This window comes from Homo sapiens, chromosome 15 (assembly GCF_000001405.40).
Source record: "Homo sapiens chromosome 15, GRCh38.p14 Primary Assembly".
Taxonomy (NCBI): domain Eukaryota; kingdom Metazoa; phylum Chordata; class Mammalia; order Primates; family Hominidae; genus Homo; species Homo sapiens.
The window spans coordinates 59,496,341-59,518,703 of NC_000015.10; the positions used below are offsets into that span (position 1 = coordinate 59,496,341).

General features: G+C 40.6%; 1 protein-coding gene across 14 annotated transcripts in view, besides 1 other annotated feature; it reads left to right on the top strand.

The window, feature by feature from the left end:
* The window catches only part of FAM81A (family with sequence similarity 81 member A), a 125,575-nt gene that overhangs the window by 98,360 nt on the left and 4,852 nt on the right, over nucleotides 1-22,363 (top strand). For all 14 annotated transcript variants that reach the window (XM_047432171.1, XM_047432170.1, XM_011521248.3 and 11 more), the window contains 4 exons: nucleotides 10,873-11,002; nucleotides 12,523-12,629; nucleotides 17,949-18,084; nucleotides 20,305-20,500. In XM_047432171.1, the coding sequence (XP_047288127.1) occupies nucleotides 10,873-11,002; nucleotides 12,523-12,629; nucleotides 17,949-18,084; nucleotides 20,305-20,500 (569 nt within the window). The remainder of the gene's footprint in view (nucleotides 1-10,872; nucleotides 11,003-12,522; nucleotides 12,630-17,948; nucleotides 18,085-20,304; nucleotides 20,501-22,363) is intronic.
* Nucleotides 18,919-18,988: an enhancer, noted in NCBI's record as "active region_9497". NCBI's record gives its function as "activates an Ori minimal core promoter by ATAC-STARR-seq in GM12878 lymphoblastoid cells {active_cell/tissue: GM12878}" and the evidence as "EXISTENCE:reporter gene assay evidence [ECO:0000049][PMID:35858748]".

A 22,363-nucleotide genomic window follows, 5' to 3' on the forward strand; every position in this document is an offset into this window, starting at 1 on the left:
TCACGCCTGTAATCCCAGTGCATTGGGAGGCCGAGGCGGGCAGATCAGGAGGTCAGGAGTTCAAGACCAGCCTGACCAATATGGTGAAACCCCGTCTCTACTAAAAATACAAAAATTTGCCAGGTGTGGCGGCCTGCGCCTGTAGTCCCAGCTACTCAGGAGGCTGAAGCAGGAGAATCACTTGAACCTGGGAGGCGGAGGTTGTAGTGAGCCAAGATCTCGCCACTGCACTCCAGCCTGGGCAACATAGCAAGACTCTATCTCAAAAAAAAAAGAAAGAAAATCACTTGGCAAATAGGTGTATAGATTTATTTGTAGACTCTCAATTCTATTCCATTGATTCTCAATTATTTTCTTATGCTGGTACCACACTGTCTTGATTGCTATAGCTTTGTGGTACATTTTGAAATTGAGAAGTGTGAGTCCTCCAACTTCATCCTTTTTTTTCAAGATTGTGTTAGCTGTTTTAGGTCCATTGTATTTCCTTATGAAATTTAGGATCAGGCCAGGTGCAGTGGCTCACGCTTGTAGTCCCAGCACTTTGGGAGGCCAAGGCGGGTGGATCTCCTGAGGTCAGGTATTTGAGATCAGCCTGGCCAACATGGTGAAATCCCATCTCTACCAAAAAGACAAAAATTAGCTGGGTGTGGTAGCGCACACCTGTAATCTCAGCTCCTGGGGAGGCTGAGGCAGGAGAATCGCTTGAACCTAGAGGTTGCAGTGAGCCGGGATTGTGCCACTGCACTCCAGCCTGGGTGACAGAGCAAAACTTTGTCTCAAATTTAAAAAAGAAGAAGAAGAAGAAGAAGAAGAAATTTAGGATCAGGCTAGGCATGGCGGCTCACGCCTGTAATCCCAGCACTTTGGGAGGCTGAGGTGGGCAGATCACGAGATCAGGAGTTTGAGACCAGCCTGGCCAACATGGTGAAATCCCATCTCTACTAAAAATACAAAAATTAGCCAGGTGTGGTAGTGGCCACCTGTAATCCCAGCTACTCGGGTGGCTGAGGCAGGATAATCGCTTGAACCTGAGAGGCGGAGGCTGCAGTGAGCCGAGGTTGTGCCACTGCACTCCAGCCTGGGCAACAGAGCAAGACTCTGTCTCAAAAAAAAAAAAATTTAAGATCAGTTTGTCAATTTCTGCAAAGAAACCAGTTGGAATATTGATAGGGACTGTGTTGAATCTGTAGATCCGTTTGGGGAATATTGCCATTTTAAAAATATTAAGTCTTTCAGTGGGTTCAGTGTCTCATGCCTGTAATCCCAGGGATTTGGGAGGCCAAGGTAGGAGGATTGCTTGAGGCCAGGAGTTTGAGGCCAGGAGTTTGAGGCCAGGAGTTTGAGACCATGTTTGGCAACATAGCAAGACTGTATATCTATGAAAAAATGAATATAAGTTAGCTGGGCATGGTGGCACATGCCTGTAGTTGCAGGGAGCTATGATCATATCACTGCACTTCAACCAGGGTGACAGAGCAAGACCCTGTTTCAAAAAAAATAAACAAATAAGCCTTTATTTAAAAAAAATTTTTTTAGAAACATTGTCTTCCTTTGTTGCCCACACTGGAGTGCAGTGGCATGATCACAATTCCCTGCAGTTTGAACTCTTGGGCTCAAGCAATCCTCCCACCTCAGCTTCCTGAGTAGCTGGGACTACAGGCATGTGCCACCACATCTGACTAATTTTTTTCATTTTTTGTAGAGACAGGGTCTCTCCCAGGCTGGTCTTGAATTCCTGGTTTCAAGTGATCCTCTCACTTTGGCCTCCCAAAGTGTTGGGATTACAGGTGTTAGTCACCATGCCTGGCCCCAAAATTCAGTATTTGGATCCACAAATGTGGATATCTTTCCATTTATTTTGGTCATCTTTAATATCTTTCAACACTATTTTGGAGTTTTAAAAGTATAAATTTCACACTTCTTTAAATTTATTCCTAAGTATTTTATTCTTTTTGATGCTATTGTAAATAGCAAATCATTTTGGTTTTTTATTGCCACTTAGATAAGTACAGTAGATTTTGTATATTGGTCTTGTGTCCTGCAACCCTGCTGAACTCATTAATTACTTCTAATAATTTCTAGTGGATGTTTAAAAGGATTTTCTACATACAGATCATGCCATCTGCAAATAAAGATAGTTTTACTTTTTACTTTCCAATCAGGATTTCATTTCATTTTCTTGCCTAATTGCCCTGACTAGAACCTCGAGTACGATGTTGAATAAATGTGGTGAGAGCAGATACTCTTGTCTTGTTTTTTTATTTTAGGAGAAAGCATCCATACTTTCATTATTTAGTAGGTGTTAGGTGTGGATTTTTGTTTTTTCCTTTGGAGACAGAGTCTTGCTCTGTCGCCCAAGCTACAGTGAAGAGGTGCGATCTTGGCTCACTGCCCCCTCCGCCCCTCCAGGTTCAAGTGATTCTCCTGCCTCAGCCTCCCGAGTAGCCGGGATTACAGGTGCCTGCCACCATGCCCAGCTAATTTTTGTATTTCTGTTAGAGATGGGGATTCGCCATATTGGCCAGGCTGGTCTCGAACTCCTGACCTCAAGTGATCCACCTGCCTCGGCCTTAGGATCACTTGATTACAAAGTGTTAGGATTACAGGTGTGAGCCACCGCACCCAGCCCAAATGTGGATTTTTTTGTATATGCTCTTTATTAGGTTGAGAAAGATTTTCTTTTCCTAGTTTCCTAGTTTGTTGGCTGTTTTTATCATGAAGGGGATTGGATTTTATCAAATGCTTTTTTTCCACCTATTGAGATGATCGTGTGGGGTTTGACCTTTTTTCAATTGATAAGGTTTATTACACTAATTGCTTTTCTGATGTTAAAGCAAATTTGCATTCTTGAAATAAATCTCACTTGGTCATGATATATAATCCTTTTTTTATATTGCAGGATCAGTTTGCTAGTATTTTGTTGAAATGACACCATCTGTTGTCATTTCCTTACCCCCAATACAGCTTTGCTCATCCACCTCCTTTGTGCTATTATCAAATACGTTAAATTTGTAATGTAATGTACATTGTTCTATGTATGTAACAATACAATTGTATGCATATTATTTTAAACAATTGCTTTTTTAATCAATTATGACAGGAGAGAAAATATTCATTTATATTGCTCGTTATAATTACATAATTACCTTTACCCACGCTCTGTGTTTTTTCATGAGGATTCAAATTACTAACTGGGGCACTTGCTTTTAGCCTGACAGACTTCGTTTGGTATTTCTTCTAGCGTGGTTCTTCTAACAATGAATTCTCTCATTTTTTGTTTTTCTGGGATGTCTTTATTTTGCCTTATTTTTTTGAAAAGTAGTAAGATTCTTGGTTGGATGTAAGATTCTTGGTTGACAGCTTATTTTCTTTTAGCGCCATGAATATGTCATCTACTGCCTTGTGGTCTCAATTATTTCTGATGAAAAATTAGCTATTAATATTATTCTAGTTCCCTTGTATGTGAGGAATTTTTTTTTCTTGCTGCTTTCAAATATTTCTATGTCTTTTTCATTTTCATTTTTTTTTTTTTTTGAGACAGATACCCTGTCGCCCAGGCTGAAGTGCAGTGGCATGATCTCAGCTCACTGCAACCTCTGCCTCCCAGGTTCAAGCGAGTCTCATGCCTCAGCCCCCTGTGTAGCTGGGATTACAGGCGTGCACCACCACACCTGGCTAATTTATGTATTGTTGGTCGAGACAGGGTTTCACCATGTTGGCCAGGCTGGTCTCAAACTCCTGGCCTCAAGTGATCTGCCCGCCTCAGCTTCCCAAAGTGCTGGGATTACAGGCGTGAGCCACCATGCCCGGCCATGATGTGTCTGGTATGGATCTCTTGGTGTTTGCCCTACTTGGAGTTTGTTGAACTACTTGTTTGTATCAATTAATGTTTTTCATAACATTTTGGAAGTTTTCAGCCATTATTTTTTGAATATTTTTTATGCTCTTTTCTCTTCTCTTTCTCTCTCTTTCCTTTGAGTTGGAGTCTTACTCTTCACCCAGGCTAGAGTGAAGTGGCAAGATCATGGCTCATTGTAATCTCAAACTGCTGGGCTCAAGCGACCCCCCAACTTTAGTCTCCTGAGTAGCTGGGACTGTAGGCATGCATCACCATGCCCAGCTAAGTATTTTTATTTTTATTTTTAGAGACAGGGTCTCACTGTGTTGCCCAGGCTGGTCTCAAAGTCCTGGCCTCAAGCAATTCTCCTGCCTCAGCCTCCCGAGTTGCTGGGATTACAGGTGTAAGCCACCATGCCTGGCATCTTCTCTCCTATTATTCTCATTATGCATATGTTGGTGCATTTACTGGTGTCTCATTTTTTTTTTTGGAGACTCTCTTCATTTTTCTTTCTTTCTTTTTTTCATCTCTGTTCATCAGACTGCATAATCTCTAGCCACCTATTTTCAAGTTCACTAGTCTTTGTTCTACCTATTCACGTTTTCTGTTGAGCCCCTCTATCAATTTTTTGTTCCAGTATTTCCATTAGGTTCTTCTTTTTCTTTTATAATTTCTATAGCTTTATTAATATTTTTTATTTGAAGAAACATTGTTATTATACATTCCTTTACTTTTAAAATTGTGGTTTCAATCATCCTATGTTTGCTCATTCTATATTTATATTAGCTATTTGAAGTTTTCTTTTTTAAAATCTGACATCTATGTCCTCTTACAGGCAGTTGGTTTACCTGTTTTTTTCCGCCTGAGTATAGTTCACATTTTCCTGGCCATTTTAGATAATATATTGTAGCAACTCTGGATACAAGCCCTCTAAGCTTGTTTTTGAGGTTGTTTGCATGTTTATTTGTTTAGCGACTTGAATGGACTCTTTTAGTGATGTCTGTTTATCCTGTAATATGAAGCCTCTGATGTCACTCCTCAGTACAGTTTGGGAAATGGGCACAATTATTTGCAATGACAGTGGTTTTGGAAGGGCTCTGTTTGACTGTCTCTTTCCCTGATATTTTATTAGGTTATCTTCCTCTGTTGATATCACACCCAAATCTTAGGCTCCACTAATTGCTAGCATATTGCTATACTATTTTTGACAATGCCCTGGGACATAAATTGTCGTATAGTCTGATGGTACTATAATTAAATAACTGCCAGCTATAAAGGGCTTAATGATACATATATATATAATAATTATGTATATATACAAAAATTACAATAATATGGAAAATGAGCAACCAAATTGATGTTTTAAATGTCATTGGGTTTGGTATGTTATGCTACTATGTCATATGCTGACAGAGAAGTTCTGCATCAGCGTGTGGCCCAAGTCATACCCTTTAGACGTTTGGGACTCTCTAGATGGACTTCTGACCACCAGTGATTAGGTAAGCCTAGCAATAGAGTCACTCTGCCACCTGATGGCCACAACCTGGAATTGTATCTGGGAGGTAACAGCTGTCTAAAGACCCAAAAAGGGAAAATTTGGAATGAGTACATTATTGTTCATCATGATGTAAAGCATTAAGGACGAATAGGAAAACTGGTTAGATTCATTGCAAATTCTTGTTTAACTAAAGCTGTTGAGCCATATGCGCAGTTATATTAGAGCCCTGAGGCTGTCTTTTATGAGTTTTTTTTAAGACAGGAATGATGTCTTTGATTTAACGCTAGATGAAATAGCAATATTCCTTTCCTTCTTTTATCTTAAATATATTTTTATTTTGAAATAATTTTAAATTTATAAAAAATTACAAAACTCACCAATTGTTAACAATATGTCACATTTACTGTATTATTCTTTCATGCATGTAATTTTTTTCTGAAACATTTTAGAGTAAGAACATTATTTTTATTTTTTATTTTTTTCTTTTTCTTTTTCTTTTTTTATTTTATTTTATTATTATTATACTTTAAGTTTTAGGGTACATGTGCACAATGTGCAGGTTAGTTACATATGTATACATGTGCCATGCTGGTGTGCTGCACCCATTAACTCGTCATTTAGCATTAGGTATATCTCCTAAAGCTATCCCTTCCCGCTCCCCCCCCAACAACAGTCCCCAGAGTGTGATGTTCCCCTTCCTGTGTCCATGTGTTCTCATTGTTCAATTCCCACCTATGAGTGAGAATATGCGGTGTTTGGTATTTTGAAGAACATTATTTTTAACATAAAAAAACCAGAGTTGACTTCACTGTGTGTGTGTGTGTGTGTGTGTGTGTGTGTGTGTGTGTGTGTTTTGAGACAGAGTTTCGCTCTGTTGCCTATGCTGGAGTGCAATGGCGCGATCTCGGCTCACTGCAATCTCTGCCTCCTGGGTTCAAGCGATTCTCCTGCTTCAGCCTCCCGAGTAGCTGGGATTACAGGCGCCTACCACCACGCCCGGCTAATTTTTGTATTTTTTATTTTTTAGTAGAGACGGGGTTTTACCATGTAGGCCAGGCTGGTCTCGAATTCCTGACCCCAGGTAATCCGCCCACCTCGCCTTCCAAAGTGCTGGGATTACAGGCGTGAGCCACCGCGCCAGCCGTGTTTTCTAATGGGAGTCTTTGGTATCTTACCTTGTGCTCTTCTCTGTGTCCCCTGCCCAGCCTGCTTCTTTTTTTACAAAAGTACACGAGGGATGTGTGCTGGTAGGAAAGAATCAGAAATGCAATTAAATATACAAAATAAAAATGAAGCCTGGCCAGGAGTGGTGGCAGCACTTTGGGAGGCCGAGGTGGGTGGATTACCTGAGGTCAGGAGTTCTGAGACCAGCCTCGCCAACATGGTGAAAACCAGTGTCTACTAAAAATACTAAAATTAGCTGGGCCTGGTAGTGGGTGCCTGTAATCCCAGCCACTCAGGAGGCTGAGGCAGGACAATCGCTTGAGCCCGGGAGGTTGCAGTGAGCTGAGATCGTGCCACTGCACTCCAGCCTGGGCAACAGAGTGAGACTGTCTCAAAAAAAAAAAAAAAAAAAAAAAAGCCTTACCACCTCTTGGCTCTGTTTTACTCCTTAGAGGTAACTAATGTTAACAGTCTGTTGTCTGTCCTTTCAGACTTTTCTCATAAGTAATAATAAGATAATAGTTTATTATATACAATGGTAGAATGGTTTGTAGTCTAATAAGTTTCTTTACAGTGTGATTTTAACTTTACAAAGTATTATATATACTATTCTGCAACATAAGTTTTTCCACATAACATGTGGACACTTCCAGTATGCACATAGATCTAGCATGCTTTTTAATTGGATATGGAGTATTCTGCTACATCTATGTACTATAAGTCAATGTATTTAGCCACTATTTTTTTTTTTTGACAGAGTCTCACTGTGTCACCCAGGCTGGAGTGCAATGGCGCAGTCTCAGCTCACTGCAACCTCCGCCTCCCAGGCTCAAGCGATTCTTGTGCCTCAGCCTCCTGAGTAGCTGGGATTACATGCGTGCACCACCACACCCAGCTAATTTTTGTATTTTTAGTAGAGATGGGGTTTTCCCATGTTGGCCGGGCTGGTCTCAAACTCCTGGCCTCAAGTGATCCACCTGCCTCGGCCTCCTAAAGTGCTGGGATTACAGGTGTGAGCCACTGTGCCCAGCCCTAGCCACTGTTGTATTAATAGAAATTTATGTTATAGTACTTGTGTTTCCAAGTGAGACACAGCATTGAAGCCAAGTGATAGCTAGTGAAAGCTTCAGAATACTTTTGAGACTTTTCAAACTACATTTTAAAACACAGTCTGTCCCTCAAACGGCTTTGTAAAGTTGATGAAACTGGTCTGATGTAGTGATACCTGATAGTGTTTATCTAGGAAGCTTATGTTTGGACTGGAAAATAATGTCTTTTAAAAAAACTATTATATTTTTTATTTCATAGTATTTTAAAAACCTCAGCTTTCCCCAAATATGATTTCAATAATATTTTGCTAAAAAATTATGAACTCAAAATAAAAAATCAGGGTCTACATTTGGCATTATTTTTAATCATCATTGACATGGGAATGATTTGTGAGGATTAATGAAATAATATATGTCAAGTATCTAGTACAGTACCTAGTACATAGTAAATATTTCCTTATATTCATTCATTCACAAATATTTATTAAGCCTCTACCATATGCAAGGCAATAAATAAAACTAGGGTTTTAGGTGATGAAAGAGGCATATATAATGTCTCCTTGCATGCAGTTTACATTCTAGAACAGTTGTTGCAAAGTAAGAGTCTATAAGAAAGTTGGAATAATTGAGCTGGTAGCTTACTTTCTTTAGAGTCAATAATAAGTTTACCACAATTTTATCCATTTACTCACTATTGTTTTTTGCACCCTACTCCTTCTTTGTGGGTGTTCTTTTCTCTTTACTGAAGTACATTCATTAGTAACTTTTTCAGTATTGGCTTGTGGGTGATATTTTTCTAATCTTTGCATGTTAGAAAAAGTCTTTATTTTGTACTTATTCTTGGATGATAGGTTATTTACCCTCAATACTTAGAAGATGTTTCTCCATTATCTTCTGATATCTGTTGTCTCCTATATCTATTGTGGGCTGTCAGTCTTATTGTCAGTTTTTGGTAGCTTTGGGTAGGTTACTTCTCTTTAGTCTGTAGCTTTTAAGATTTTATATTTATCATTGGTTATCTGAATTTCCCCATGCTTTATGTATTTTTACTTATCCCAGTTTGTAGTCATTGAACATCTTAAAATTCATGTCTTTCTTCAATTTTAGAAAATTGTTGGCATTCACACCTCAAATATTGCTTCTTTGCCATTATCTCTATTTCCTTCTGTTGGAACTCCTCCTTGACTTATGTTAACATCCCTCTATTTGACTTCCATGTTTCTTAACTATTTTTTCATGTTTTTAATCTCTGTCCACTACATTCTGAGTGAGTTCCTTGCTACTATCATTGAAGCCACTGATTCTATCTTCAACTATGTCTAGTCTAGAATTAAGACAAGGGCTGGGCGCGGTGGCACACATCTGTAATCCCAGCACTTTGGGAGGCTGAGGCGGGTGGATTGCCTGAGGTCAGGAGTTTGAGACCAGCCCGGCCAACATGGTGAAACCTCATGTTTACTAAAAATACAAAAATTAGCCAGGCATGGTGATGTGTACCTGTAATCCCAGCTACTCAGGAGGCTGAGGCAGGAGAACGGCTTGAACCCAGGAGGCAGAGGTTGCAGTGAGCCGAGATCACGCCACTGCACTCCAGCCTGGGTGACAGAGTTAGACTCTGTCTCGAAAAAAAAAAAAAAATCACAGAAAGGCGTCATTGATCATCTTAGCCACCTATAGCATGGAAGTAAGTGATTTGCTGGATGGTGTCTGCCTGGAAGTGGATGTACACCTCACATCTGCAGTTCACCCCTGTGTCTGCCCACCACTGACAGGGGAGAATAAAGGGTTCTCCTCTTCTACCTTCTGAGTCTTGTATAAATGACTCTCACTGTCAGAATCTAACTCCGAACCCTTCTGGCAATGACGTCTGGGAAGTATAGTTTGGGGCTTCAGTCCCTACGAGACAAAGAGCATTTACAAGGAGCAAAAATGTTGTGTCACTTAAGAATGATCCATTTATGTAAACTCTTTTCCTTGTCACTAATCCTCCAGTTTTTTTCCTAAGTCTCTAACCATTAGCCACTTTCCTTGAATGTCTGGCCATCTCTTATTCCAGGCAAAATGAATCTCCCAATATATTGTTAGAAATTCTGTCTTCCTAACAATCTTTAGGGCTACTCCTAAGTGGACTTAGAAGCATCAGCAGTCTTATTCCAGAAGGTGTCAGCATACTGGGTGTGACCATCTGTAAGCCAGGCCTGACTTTCTCCCTCAGTCCACCTGGTCATCAAGAACTCTTCTAGAAGCCACAGATTTTTTTGTTTGTTTGTTTTGTTTTGTTTTGTATTATCGTTTTATCTTTTTGTAGACACAGGGTCTTGCTATGTTGCCCAGGCTGGCCTTGAACTCCTGGGCTCAAGCAATTCTCCTGCCTCAACCTCAGCCTCCCAAGCAGCAGGAGGGAGAAGATGAAGAAGTCATAGGCATGGATTGAAGGAGAGTTGGTGCAGTAGCAGGAATAGATGCCATGGTGGGAGTCTGTGCTCTTGTAACTTACTTGTGCCTTTTGAACCTGCTTGAACCCTTCCCCTTGAAGATGGAGTGCTGTTCTAGGCCCACCTTCTAGTGTGGTATTCATGATGGATTGCTCCGATTGCAGAGTCACCTAATGGCATTCTGTCTCTACTGAGCCCAGTAGCAAGCCAGCAGCTTCTTCTCAACAGAGGAATATTGTCTCAGAACAGAGCATTAGTTAGCTCTAAACTCTTATGGGTCCATTCTGTGACTCTCCTATTAGGACTCGACAGAGGCCCCACACAGCTCATCTGCCACACATACTTTGAGTACCATTGGATCTGCCAAGTTGCAAGGCCCACAGGGCAGCAGCTTTTACTACAGCTTGAACTGGCTGCAAAGCCTTCCCCTGCTCTACACCCTACTCATACTATACAGCCTTACGAGTGATTCAGTCAAAGTTTAGAAGTAATATTTTCTAACATGGTAGAAGTTTCCTCCCAAATCCAAGGAGGCCCCCAACTTCGAAAGGCAGGGGTGGTACTGAAGAGTGACAGACCACATCCAGCACACTAGCTATGCTCTTTGTATTGGCCTCTCGCTGCACATACAGTGTTGTACTCATGATCGTTGGAAAGACTTTATTTCTTTGGTGGTTACATCTCTAGCCTTATTAAGCAACATCCCTGTGGTTTACCTTAAAAACCATAATGAGGCCAGCTCTTGGAATTCATTTGAACCTCTGTTCAAAAGAATGATGGATAGTGCACTTTCTTTGAGTGGGTTTTGCATTTCAGAGTGTATAAGGAAGCTTTTGCGCATTGTTTTTAAACTTTAATAAGAATCAGCTTTGTTCTTTGTCTGGACAGATGTGATGCCAGCATAGCTAGACTTTCTGCAGAGCACAAAACGACCTATGAGGGGCTCCAGCACTTGAACAAAGAACAGCAGGCTGCCAAACTTATCTTGGAAACGAAAATCAAAGATGCAGAGGGACAGGTACGACCTGTTTCAGGTAGCTTTTAGAAGCGGGTAATTTGTTCTTAGCTAAGAATAACATGGTGTTGATTATTTCTTACAGGAGAAACCAGCTGGGGCATCTAGCATGGGTTTATGCCAATCATAAGCATCTTTTCTTTGATTCTTCCTTTCCTATTTCACTAGAGTGGCCCTTCATGTGTCTGGCAACCAAACCACCAAAATTGTTTGGTATAGTCCTAATTCTACTCCCCACCACCACATTCCTAGAACAACTAATACATTCCAGAAATTCTAAATGACACCTTGAAAGCTATCTCTTGCACAAGTAAGTGATCAAGCATCCTTTACATGCCACTCGTCCCAATTTTTGATTCAGGAAATAATGTATTCCCTGGGACTCATTGTATGTACTACCTCATCACATAGTCTGTATGTGGGACAAAATTAGGCAAAGCTAGAGCATAGGCAGGCTAATGAATATGAGAGTATTTGACCTCAAACGTCACAGATTAATTTCACAAAGCAAAACTTTTGGCATTTCAGTTTGTTTTTTGGCCACTTAAAAGTTTCCCTTTGCCATCATAGGGCGTGTCTTCTAGGACTTTTTCTACAATATCTGCCTTATTTGCTATTGTTCGTTTAAAGAGACTATTCCAGTAAAATAGGAGCATCTGGTTAACTTACTGGATTAAATACATTTATACCTTAATCATCTCCAATAAGAATATAAAGCTACTTATGTGAAAAATACAGATATTATAAAACTATGAAAAAGAATAAAAAGACAATCCAATAATAATTTCTTTTTTGAAGAATGAGTGAGAATGGAATTACTACACCAGAGAAGAGATGTTAAGGAAATCATAAGCTTCTTTATAGCCAGGCCAAGTCAAATATGTACAGATATCCATCAAAAGAGACATTCTTTCTCTTTCTTCTGGATCTGACAAATACCATGAATCTTTAAGTAAGGAACATGGAACATTCTAATTTTTGCAGAAAAGGCAGAAATTTCACACAGGACTGGTTTTTGTTAAATTGCAGTAAAGACAAGGGACATGGGTAGGTGGTGTGAGAAAGGAACAGGAGGGAGATAGTCTACAAGTTATATTGACTGGTGACCTGACTTGTTATGGAGGTAAATCTGAGACCTTGATGGATTTTGTAAACAATAAAAATTCTATTTTCTATGACGAGCCGTTAAACTGATGGTAGAAATTCCAAGGTAAGGTTGACTATCATGACAGCTGGTAGAAGTTGCGGTCTTGGGTAGGAATTGGGCTTGCTCCTCAGAGAATTATGTGTAAAATTAAGTGCTTAGTGCAGGATGAATATTTTGGCAGTGCTACTGGTCTTGATTTTCGATGGGTATATAAGAAAGAAAATGGAGGTGGAAAGATGAGGTAGACTTATAAATGAATTTATCAAATTAGATAGAATCTTAATGCCATTGACTACAATATGGCTTACTAAATGTTTTCTGAAGTTGCATCTGAAGACGTTAGATGTGATATTTATAAGCAAGATTTCTTTTCCAGATTTCTCAGCTTTTGAACAGAGTGGACTTGTCAATATCAGAGCAGAGCACCAAACTGAAGATGTCTCACAGAGACAGTAACCACCAGCTTCAGCTTTTGGACACTAAGTAAGCAATCAATTTATTAAAAAAATAAAACTTAAAGTTCTTTATGAGTTTATGCAATACTATGATTTTTTTCCTCTTGGTTTTTATTTATTGCACAAATTGAAAACAATAATGGAAGTTAAAAAGAAAAGTTTCCTTGTATCATGTTGCCACTTTTCCTTCATAATTATTGTTTTTTGTGTTTGGATAATTATCCACCTATTCATTCAACAAGTGTATATTGAGTATTCATTGGCCTAGGGGCTGAGGATCTGGGTAATGAACACAAACCAGACTCTGTTCTTATCCTTGTGGAGTTTAGTCTGGGGAGCTGATGACCATTAATCAATGACATAAATGAGCATCTACTATATTATTGCTAATGGTGGTAAGTGCGTTGAAGGTTCGGTTCATGGTTGTGTAGGCTGAATAATGGTCCTCTAAACATCTTCATGTCCTAATCCCTGGAAGTTGCGAATATATTACCTTATATGGCAAAAGGGGACTTTGCAGATGTGATTAAGTTATGGATTTTAAAATGGGTTTTATCTGATAAGCCTGATGTGATCACTAGAGTCCTTATAAGAGGGAGGCAATAGGGTCACAGTCAAGAGAGAAGGCCATGTGACAATGGAAGCGAGACTGCAGTGATGCACTTTGAGGACGGGGCAAAGAATTCCAAGCCAAGGAACACATGAGGCCACTAGAATGAGTGAGAGGCCTGGTTGTGGGGCCTTCCTGAGGAAGGGATGTTTGAGGTGAGAGCTGAAGAGTGAATGGGGCTTTGCTCTGTAAAGAGTAGGATGAGAATATATGAGGTTGAATAGCCTGTCGTGGGAGGAATGTGACATGCAAGAAACTGAAAGATGGCGAGGGTGACTGGAACAGGGAGTGAGGGTGAAGCAGTGGGGCATGAGGCTGCAGGGGAGGTGGGCCAGCTCGCAGTTGTGATTTTTTGTGACAGCAATAGACACAAATAGAAGGAGACAGAGTGAGAAGGCCCAACCTATGCCTAATGAGAATCTTATGAGAGATAATAGAGGGAATAGAGGAGAAGCAGTATCAAAAGAGAGAATGGCAGACAAGCATACAGAATTGATGAAAGAGAAATCTCAAACTTAGAAAACCAAATACATGGTGGGTGCAGTGGCTCATGCCTATAATCTCAGCACTCTGGGAGGCCAAGGCAGATGGATCACCTGAGGGCAGGAGTTTCAGACCAACCTGGCTAACATGGTGAAACCCTGTCTCTACTAAAAATACAAAAATTAGCCAGGCATGGTGGCACAGGCCTGTAATCCCAGCTACTCGGGAGGGTGAGACATGAGCATTGCTTGAACCAAGGAGGCAGAGGTTGCAGCAGTGAGCCGAGATCACACCACTGCACTCCAGCCTGGGCAATAGAATAGGACTCTGTCTCAAAAAAAAAAAAAAAGAAAGCCAACTACATTCCAGTAGAATAAGTAAAAAGCCAAGTCTAGACACATCAGTTTGGTGCTCTAAAACTACAGAACACCAAATAAATATAGAAAGATCTTAAAGCAGAGAGAGAAATTAGACCAATGCTGATTTCTCAGCCATATTAAGGGTGAGAAGGTGGTCTGGTACCTTCAGATACTGAGAGTCTGATTGTCAGCCAGTGGAAAAATAAAGATGTTTCAGACAAATAAGAACTCAAAGTTAGCTGGATATGGTTGTGCATGCCTATAGTCCCAGCTACTCAGGAGGCTGAGGCAAGAGAATTGCTTGAGTCCAGGAGGTTGAGGCTGTAGTGAGCTATGATTGAGCCACTGCACTCCAGCCTAAGTGACAGAATGAGACCCTGTCTCAAAAAAAAAAAAAAAAAAAAAAAAAAAAAAGAACTCAAAGTGTACTAATAAAACTACACTAATGGAATTTTAAAAAGACAGCCTTCATGGCTGGATGTGGTGGTTCGCGCCCATAATCCCAGCACTTTGGAAGGTTGAGGCGGGCAGATCACCTGAGGTCAGGAATTCAAGACCAGCCTGGCCAACATGGTGAAATCCTGTCTCTATTAAAAATACGAAAGTAGCTGGAAATCACCTGAACCCAGGAGGTGGAGGTTGCAATGAGCCGAAATCATGCCACTGCACTCCAGCCTGGGCAACAGAGCGAGACTCCATCTCAAAAAAAGAAAACGAAGAAGAAACAAAGAAAATAATACAAAAAGAAGGTCCAAAATATAAGAAGAAAGGATGAGCAAAGAATATGATGAACATTGGGCAAATCTAAACAAACAGTAATATTAAAGTCAGATTTGCAGAGGATCAAAACACAACTAAAATATAGGTCAATGACAACATCTAAATGAGGAGGAAGATTTCTGAAATTATTCTTAGGAGTTTTTCAGGATCAAATTAGAAACATTGAATAACTTTAGACTTTGATAAATTAAATGTGTGTATTAAAATTTCCATTCTAAAAGAATAAAATTGGTATAATTTCCAAACATTAGAAGAAATCCAAAGGACACGGGTTCACATCAGATATGTGAAAGTGTTAGCAAGGATGTGGGGAACAGGACCTCTTTATAGCGCTGAGTAAAATGTGAAGTAGTACAACCACTCTAGAAAACAGTCTGGTGTTTTCTGGAAAAGTTGGACGTGTTCAGACCCTAGAGAAATTCTCCCAAATGTGAACCAGGAGCTATGTATCAGTATTTTTGTAACAGCATTATTATTTATTTTATTTATTTATTTTGAGATGGAGTCTTGCTGTGTCGCCAGGCTGGAGCGCAGTGTGCTTGATCTCGGCTCACTGCAACCTCCACCTCCCGGGTTCAGCGATTCTCCTGCCTCAGCCTCCCGAGTAGCTGGGACTACAGGCACGTGCCACCATGCCCAGCTAATTTTTGTATTTTTGGTAGAGATGGGGTTTCACCATGTTAGCCAGGATGGTCTCAATCTCCTGACCTCGTGATCTGCCCACCTCGGCCTCCCAAAGTGCTGGGATTACAGGCGTAAGCCACTGCACCCGGCCCATAACAGCATTATTTTTAATAGCAAAGATGGATAAAAACAAACCAAAACAAATGTCCATCAACAGAAGACTGGATAAGCTGTGGTATATTCATAAAATTGAATATTATTCAACAATGAAAATGAATTCACTACAGCTATACAAATCAGCATGAATGAATCTCACAGACATATGTTGAGTGAAAAATGAGTAGAAAACTCACACTTTAGTACGTTCCATTTGTATAAAATTTAAAAATATGCAATGCTGGCCAGGCGAGGGGGCTAACGCCTGTAATCCCAGCACTGTGGGAGGCCAAGGCAGGCAGATCACTTGAGTTTGGGAGACTAGCCTGGCCAACATGGTGAAACCCTGTCTGTACAAAAATACAAAAATTAGCTGGGCATGGTGGTGCGCGCCTGTAGTCCCAGCTATTCAAGAGGCTGAGGCCGGAGAATCACTTGAACCTGAGAGGCAGAGGTTGCAGTGAGCCAAAATCACACCACTGTACTCCAGCCTGGGCGACAGAGCGAAACTCCATCTCAAAAAAAAAAAAAAAAAAAAAAAAAAGCAATGCTGAAAAATATGCTGTTTTAAGATCCAAACCAATAGAATAAAATGATGAAGAACAATAAGTTCCAGTTAATGGTTACTTCTTGGGTTGTGGGGTGATCGCAAAGTACACTTGGGTCTTCTAAGGTCCTGGCAGTGTTCCATGTCTTACCTGGCAGGGGTTCACGGTTGTGTACTTAGGGTACAGGCTAGCTTCCATGCTGGCTCTCACATAACAGTGCGGAGATCAGTGGTCCAGAGGAGACAGGCAGCAGTCGCAACTCAGTGTGGTTTTTCCAAGGCTCCAGTCCTCGTCCCTTCCCAGTCACCTGGGACAGGGAGAGAGTCCAGGGCAGAAGCTTTGTTTTTAAAGATAGGACTGGAAAGGCGTGCTTATGACTTTGATGCATCATGAGGCTATATCTCGCTGCAAGGGATCCTGGGAAATGTGGTCTCTGGCTAGGCAGCCATGTACCCAGTTAACATTTGAGGGCTTCTTAATAAGGAAGAAGAAGAGAACAGATATTGCAGGACAAGTGGTAGCTCTACTACAATGGGTGTTCATGTTATCACTATTTAAGTCACATGTCTACATCACATACATTCTTCTGTATTTTATTACATATTATAATAAAAACTGGAAAGAAGTAATTAAGAGGGAGGTAGCAGGTATGGACAGTTATAAGGAATTTGGGAAGGGAGAGGAATGGAAGGATGGGAGGGTTTTATTTTTTTCTTTCAATTTTTCTTTTGATTTACATTAGGAAATATCCATAGAGGACAAGGGCAATTTGGGGAACGTTAGAGAGAAAGGGAGCCAGGTTCTAGTCCCAAGAGATAAAAGGGACTAGGAGGAAGAGCCTGGGGAAGAAGGGGACCCTAGAAGAGGAGATGAGAGACACTGTGTCCTCTGAGCCAGGAGTATCGTGGACCCTCGGAACTGCCGGGGTCTGTGGCTGGCCCAGCTCTGTGTCGCTGTGTCACCTCAGTGCCTGTGCCGCGTACTCCTCGTGGGTAGGAAGCACAATCAGATGGTTTATCTGTTGTATTCTCCCGCCTTACCAGCTTCCCATGTTAGTGCTAAGTGCAATTCTAAGAAAAGGAAAATATGTAATTCTGATTGAGCCTAGTTTAATGTTGGCATATATACCAGAAATATGATAGTTGGAAATTGATATTGTATGATGTCATTAAAAAAAATTGTTAGAACCAGAAATACCATTTGACCCAGCAATCCCATTACTGGGCATATACCCAAAGGAATATACATCATTCAGTTACAAAGATACATGCATACGTATGTTCACTGCAGCAGTGTTCACAATAGCAAAGATATGGAATCAACCGAAATGTCCATCAATGATAGACTAGATAAAGAAAATATGGTACTTATATAGCATGGAATACTGTGCAACCATAAAAAGGAATGAGATCATGCCCTTTGCAGGGACATGGATGGATCTGGAAGCCATTATCCTCAGCAAAGTAACACAGGAACAGAAAACCAAACACCACATGTTCTTACTTATAAGTGGGAGCTGAACAATGAGAACATGTGGACACAGGGAGGGGACCAACACATACTGGGGCTTGGGGGCATGGGGGGGGCAAGGGAGAGCATCAGGAAAAATAGCTAATAGATGCAGGGCTTAATACCTAGGTGATGGGTTGACAGATGCAGCAAACCACCATGGCACATGTTTACCTGTGTAACAAATCTGTATATCCTCAACATGTACCCTGGAACTTAAAATAAAAAAAATAAAAAATAAACTGTTTTACATCTAACTTGCAATTTTTTTTTTTTAGATTTAAAGGTACAGTTGAGGAACTCAGTAACCAGATATTATCTGCACGGAGTTGGTTGCAACAGGAACAAGAACGGATAGAAAAAGAGCTTTTACAGAAAATTGATCAGCTTTCCTTGATTGTTAAGGAAAACAGTGTAGGTATTGATGTTTAGCAAAAATTTAGTAAAGTTATTCAGTGGGGGCCTACACTGTTTGAATAATAATACCTAGTAATTTATCACTGATTTAGCTGTTCAATTGTTTCTTGCCTTAAAATCCATTTCCATAGTTCCATATTGATGCTTTGTATTCTTCATAAAGACATAGAACACTCTGACTTGTTTTGGTTAACAAAGACTAAGTAGAAAATTTCAGTACTTTCAGTTAAGATGAAGTTAAGCTAAAACCTTAATGATCCAAATTGTTCATCTTCGTTTCTACATAAAACTAAGAATCACCAACTTCATTCTTGTTTGTTTTAATTTCTTGATCTGGGTTTGCTTTTTTGCCTGGTGTTGAATAGATTTCTGTCTCCAGATCACACCATTCTACTGTAGCTACATGTGAGATACCACAGTGCAACATGTAAACAGAATCCACCATTTTTTTCCCCATTTTCCTTCTCCTTCATCCCAGTCTCTCACAGAGCTAAGGTTTGTAGAACTGCTCAAAAACGATATCAAGAAAGTCTTGTGCCGGGCACTGTGGCTCACTCCTGTAATCCCAGCACTTTGGGAGGCTGAGGCGGGAGGATCGCTTGAGCCCAGGAGTTCGAGACCAGCCTGGGAAACATGGTGAAACCCCATCTCTACAAAAAACACAAAAATTAGCTGAGCATGGTGACACACGCTTGTAGTCCCAGCTACTCAGGAGGCTGAGCCTGAATCCACCTTGAGCCCAGGAAGGTCAAAACTGCAGTGAGGTATGACTGCACGCTGCACTCCAGCCTGGGCGACAGAGTGAGACTCTATCTCAAAAAAAGAAAAAAAAGTCTTGCATATGTAGTATTCAAAATTGTTATGCTCCCAAACCAGTACCTGGCAAGCAAAGTTTCATTGGTTTTCATTGTTTAGCATGACATCTCTGTCTCCCTTCCCTTTTCTTGTACTGTTTCCTCTTGTTGGATATTGATGATTGAGCTGAAATGACTGGTGCAGTACATCTCTGACTCTGCTCTCTCCAGATGTGGAGCTGTTGAATTGCAGACTCTGCATTGAGCACCATCAAGAGAGGAGTATCATGCCATAACCCACTTACAGCTTGGAGTTTGCAGTCTTGGCCTCCAAGCTCACTGGCAGACACAGATTCCCATAAAAACCAAGCATGTGGAAAGGCAAAAGGAAAGGAAAGACTTAATTTTCATATATGATTTTATATATATTTAAAATATTAAATATGTTCTTTTAAGTATTTCCCCATATTTCCATCACATCTACTAATTGGCTTACTTGGATTTATACTAATACATTTGTACTAATAATTCTTGGTCTTTGGATCACTGTTTATATATGGATTGGTTTAATAGCTAACAGTAAACCCCAGGATAATAGTGGCTTTCATGAAATAGAAACTTATTTTTTATTTCGCATAATGGAAGTCTGGGTATAGGTAATGCAGGACTGGTATGATAGCTTCTCAGTCCTCAGTGACCCAGGATCCTTCCAGTTTAACTTTTTGCCAACCCTAGAGTGATCCATATCTTCATAATTCAATATAGCTGCTAGAGCTCCAGCCATTCTGGCTGAATTCCAGAAAGGGAAGGACGAAGGAAGAAGTAAGGAGATACATCAGCTGTCTTTTAACTTTTCCTGGAAGCTGCCATATACACTTGTACTTACATCTCATTGAATGTAGTGGTTTTTTTTTTTTTTTTTTGAGACAGAGTCTCACTCTGTTACCCAGGCTGGAGTGGAATGGCGAGATCTTGGCTCACTGCAACCTCGCCTCCCCTGTTCAAGTGATTCTCCTGCCTCAGCCTCCTATGTAGCTGGGATTACAGGCACCCACCACCATCCATCCCTGGCTAATTTTTGTATTTTTAATAAAGACAGGGTTTCACCATGTTGGCCAGGCTTGTCTCGAACTCCTGACCTCAAGTGATCTGCCTGCCTCGGCCTCCCAAAGTGCTGGAATTACAGGCGTGAGCCACCGCACCCAGCCTGAAAATGTAGTCTTTGTTTTGAATGACCTTGTACCCAGCCGAAAATCATGGATCTGTTAAGGAAGAAAGGGAGAACGGATATTATGGTGGGCAACAAGCAGCTGTTGCAAATCTGTTTCTTGCAGATTGTTGTTAAACGATATTATGGCTGATGTGAATGCAATGCAGATTTCTTTTTGGAGTGATTAAGTGCAGTTCTTATCATGGATCTCAGGGAGCCAGTGAAAGGGATATGGAGAAGAAGCTCAGCCAGATGTCAGCCAGGCTTGACAAAATAGAAGAGGGTCAAAAGAAGACTTTTGATGGTCAGAGAACAAGGCAAGAAGAGGAGAAGATGCACGGGCGAATCACCAAGCTGGAGTTACAGATGAACCAGAACATCAAGGAAATGAAAGCAGAAGTTAATGCTGGTAGGCCAAAACCAGAACAGCTCACGTGCTTTATTTTCTGTTTGTTCTAAAACCTATTAATTAGTATCCCCTGCAACTACCTATGAACCTGGCTAATGGTAATAACCGTGAAATATCCTTAGTTGATTTTCTGAGTAGCTGTGCTGTATTTTCTAAGTAGCTACAATGCTGTTTGAATTTCAGCTATATAAAGAGCCACCGTGAGAGACAGGCAAACAGAACTGAAATTGCTTAGCCTGCAACTGAGGTACATTTTCTTCAGCACCATCGGCCAATTCTTTTCTGTTCATAGCCAAGGTTAACATGTCTCAGAAGGAAGCACATATCTTTGAGGGGGTTTTGAGGGCTTATTTTATAGTGCTAGCAGTACAGTACCACCCTGGCAAAGAATGATTTTCCTCTACTGGCAGGTCAGCAGGGCGCATTAATTCACACTTGCTTAGAGGAGAACATTAGCACTGATTTCAAGTTCTGAGTGCTGTCATATATGGGAGGGATTAGATTTACGCTCTGAACTCAGGAATACAGAACTGTGACCACTAAGTGGAAGGTACCCGAAGACAGATTTTAACTCAATATGAGGCAGAAGTACCTTGAAGTTAATGAGTCCTAAAAGACTGATGGCTTTCGGAGCTTGAGAGCTCTTTGTTACAGAAAATATTCAAGTAGAGGCTGGTTGATTGTGGTCAGGAAGAAGACGTTCCTGTAGTGTGAGAAGTGGAACTAAATTCTCTCCTAGCTTCTTCCAGTTGTATGATTCCATGAATTTTCTTCTATGAAATTGTTCTGTTTTGGCCACATGGAAATAAAAGTGCTAGTTATCCCTAGAATAATTTTGTTATTACCACCAAATGTTTATTATTTTATTTATAGGAGCTACAATTAAATATATGAATTGGAGAACTTGTAAAGATAAAAATGAATTTTCTTTCTTAGTCTTTGGACTATTAAAATATGGTATTTGAATATTTCATCAATGTTTAACCTCGCATCATTCCCTGAAGGAATGTATTGTTATTTAACATACCATTGAGGATGTTAATATTTAGCACCTAATATGAAAAGCATCTGAGCCTTTTAAAAAATAAAGCCATTTTCTTTATTACAAAGACAATATATTTCTTCTTTCTTCCTTTTTTTTTTTTGTTTTGGAGACAGAATCTTGCTCTGTTGCCAGCCTGGAGTGCAGTGGCGTGATCTTGGCTCACTGCAACCTCTGCCTTCAGGGTACAAGCGATTCTCCTGCCTCAGCCTCCTGAGTAGCTGGGATTACAGGCGCCTGACATCACGGCCGGCTAATTTTTTTTTTTTTTTTTTAATAGAAACAAGGTTTCACCATGTTGGCCAGGCTAGTCTTGAACCCCCAACCTCAAATGATCCTCCCGCCTCGGCCTGCTGAAGTGCTGGGATTACAGGCAAGAGCCACCAGGCCTAGCCTCATGATGCCTTTTTACCCCTTTATTATTTCCATTTTTTTGGAAATTAAAAAAAATGACAGAATGAGACAGAGGCTCACTCTGTTGCCTAGGCCGGGGTGAAGTGGTGTGATCGTAGCTCACTACAGCCTCCTGGGCTCAGGTGAGCCCCCTGCCTCGACCTCCTGAGCAGCTAGGACTATGGGCATGTGCCACCATGCCCAGCTCATTTTTTTATTTAAAAAATTTTTTTAGAGATGGGTCCTCAGTATGTTGCCCAGACTGGTCTGGAACTCCTGGCCTCAAGCAGTCCTCTTGCCTTGACCTGCCAAAGCTCTGGAATTACAGGTGTGAGCCGCTGCCTGGTTGCCCTTTTATTATTTCAGTGTATATATCCTAAGAACAAGGATATTCTCTTATAAATAACTTTAATACAATGTATCATCAA